General features: G+C 49.0%; 1 long non-coding RNA gene across 1 annotated transcript in view; it reads left to right on the forward strand.

Annotated features, from left to right (window-relative positions):
- LOC127898557 (uncharacterized) overlaps nt 1-2,345 on the forward strand; it is a 140,693-nt gene that overhangs the window by 111,142 nt on the left and 27,206 nt on the right. The gene's annotated exons all lie outside the window — the stretch shown is intronic.

Below are 2,345 nucleotides of genomic sequence, written 5' to 3' on the forward strand. Positions count from 1 at the left end.
GAAAAGCTTTTAATTTTAGCGCTTTGTCCTGCTTTTTGAACAAGGAGTCTTACATTTTCATTGCACTATGTCCTGCAAATGATGTAGCTGGGCTTGCTCAAGCTAAACACATGGGGTAGAGCTCCTTCCCTGTTTTCCCACCCCCAGCAAAATGCGAGGAGTGGGGAGGGAGGGCAAAAGTTACACAGCTTTGTGCACTTCATTTTCTTTTTCCTTAAAACTCCAACCCTTTGTGTCCTCCCAGCACGTGTTTCTAGCTCCTCCAAGGGCAAATCATTGACAGCCAGGTTTAGTAGTCACTTTACACTTCTGGGAAAATGGCTGTGGCTTCTAGCTGGGAGCTGTGTCTTCTGAACGTAGTAAGAGTCTGGTCTTAGCTTTCAGGCTGGCCTGTCTCCACAGCTATTTATTATAGTTCACACTTAGCTGGGGCTTTTGGGAGAGAGGGAGAAGCCAGAGCCAACAAGAATGCAGAAGGGAGAATGCAGGAAGACAGGGCACAGTGCTTCCCATCTCTCCTGATGTGGACAGTAGAAACTTCCTGAGTACCTGCTGCATAGGGCATGGCTCTGTAGGGGCTCAGAAAACAGTACCCCAAAAGGAAGATCTCAGCAGCAGCCTCAGAAGCGAACGTTTCTCTCTGACCTTCTCCTGCCCTCCTCTCAGTCCCATTTTCTCCCAAGGCCAGCCACTGAAACTAGAATCCCTCTTTCTCAAGGCAGGTTATAGAAACCAGAACCCCTTTTCCCCAAAGCTAGCCATAAAATCTAAAAATATTATCTGTGAAAACTGACCATAAAGAACATATCTGACCTACCTGGTTTGACTGTAGGTCACAAGCCCCCATTCCAGAGAGGCCCTGCCCCACACCCAGAAGGAAGGAATGCTTTAGAGAGGCCAAGAAGAATCTAGACAGGTCTTGCTGGGTTTTCTACTCAGTCTATTAACATCAGATCATCCTCCCTTTTGTCAAATCAGACTTCTACCTGGCTGTCCATACTTTGTTAAGCCTAAACATAAAAACAGACAATTTCCCCCGTGTCTTGGGGTCTTCATTCTGAAGCCTCCGTGGATACACATTGAATGAATTAGTATGCTTTCTCTCCTATTACTCGGTTGGCCTCATGTCAGTGATTTTTCAGTGAACCACAGTTCCCTCGTCGGTGGGCTGCCATGTCAGGCAGGCAGGGAAGCGCAGTGGACTCTAGGAAGGAAGAAGCAAGGACCTTTGGAGAAGGAGCATCACTCAGGGGCAGAGACAGGAAGCCCCAGAGCCGGGTTTTTCGGTCCTCTGCTCCACAGTGCACAGGTTTCAGAATGCTTCCTGAGAATTCTCCATTACCACCACACTTTTTAATTTTAGGAAATCAGCATGTTTTATTCATTAAAAAGATAAAATATCTTTGTGCAAGAGAGGCCCCAAAGGAGAGCAGTGCTCAGAGTGGCTAATGGATTTCTTTGTAATGCGGTTTAATGCAACAAGGCAACTCATGTCTTTATGGTTGGGAGAGTTTTCTCCTTGGATGGGGAGTGAGGGGCTGAGAGCCTGAGACTGGGCATACTCCAGAATCCGCACCCAGCCCCTGGCTGGAGGCAGCCAGCCTTTGCCTGAGCTACAGCCCTGAGGCTGAGCCATTACCCTGAGTGACCCATCCCTGAGAGACCAAGAGGCAGTGGGGCTGAGCCATGCTCTAGACGTCACCTCTCAGTCCCAGAAAGGACACCCTGCAGGTCACCAAACAAGGGTTGAATTGTCCTCTGTGAAAAAGTCAGCCTCCTGAGCATGAAAAAGCCCTAGCACTGGTGGTTAGAAACCAACTGAAGCAGGGGTGGCTAAGCCTTCTGTGAGGAGGAAATTCTTTTTATTTTCTAGAATCTGAGATTCCTGAGGAGACCGTGGAGGGAAGGCCTCCTCTTCTGAGAGTGGGGTGGTGAAATAAGGAGCCTGTGAAGATGAGGCCCTTCTCACTGGGAGCCCTGACTAATCAAGAACAGCCAGGGCAACAGCTCCGTCTGTGGCCAGCAGAAATCTTTCTGATGCCCCCTGGCTTAGAGGAAAGAGAAACGGTGGGATTACAGCTATCCCATAAAAAAAGCAAAATTCATCTTTTTCACTTTCATCTGTGGGTCAGAAAATAGACACTGAGGGCTGAACGTCCTTCCACAATGGGTCGGCCAGGATGGCATCTGGTGTCTCAGGGCCAGAGGCAGGTGAGGGGAATGGAGGCTGAGAGCGGCTCTGAGGGAGGAGGGCCCCACTGTTGGCAGCTGCTTCCCCTCCTCGTATTTTCCCCCTCTTCTCTCTGTTTTGATCTACTAGTACTTCTGTGTTTCTGTTTCTCTTC

The sequence above is a fragment of the Homo sapiens genome, chromosome 4, assembly GCF_000001405.40.
Source record: "Homo sapiens chromosome 4, GRCh38.p14 Primary Assembly".
NCBI classification, from domain to species: domain Eukaryota; kingdom Metazoa; phylum Chordata; class Mammalia; order Primates; family Hominidae; genus Homo; species Homo sapiens.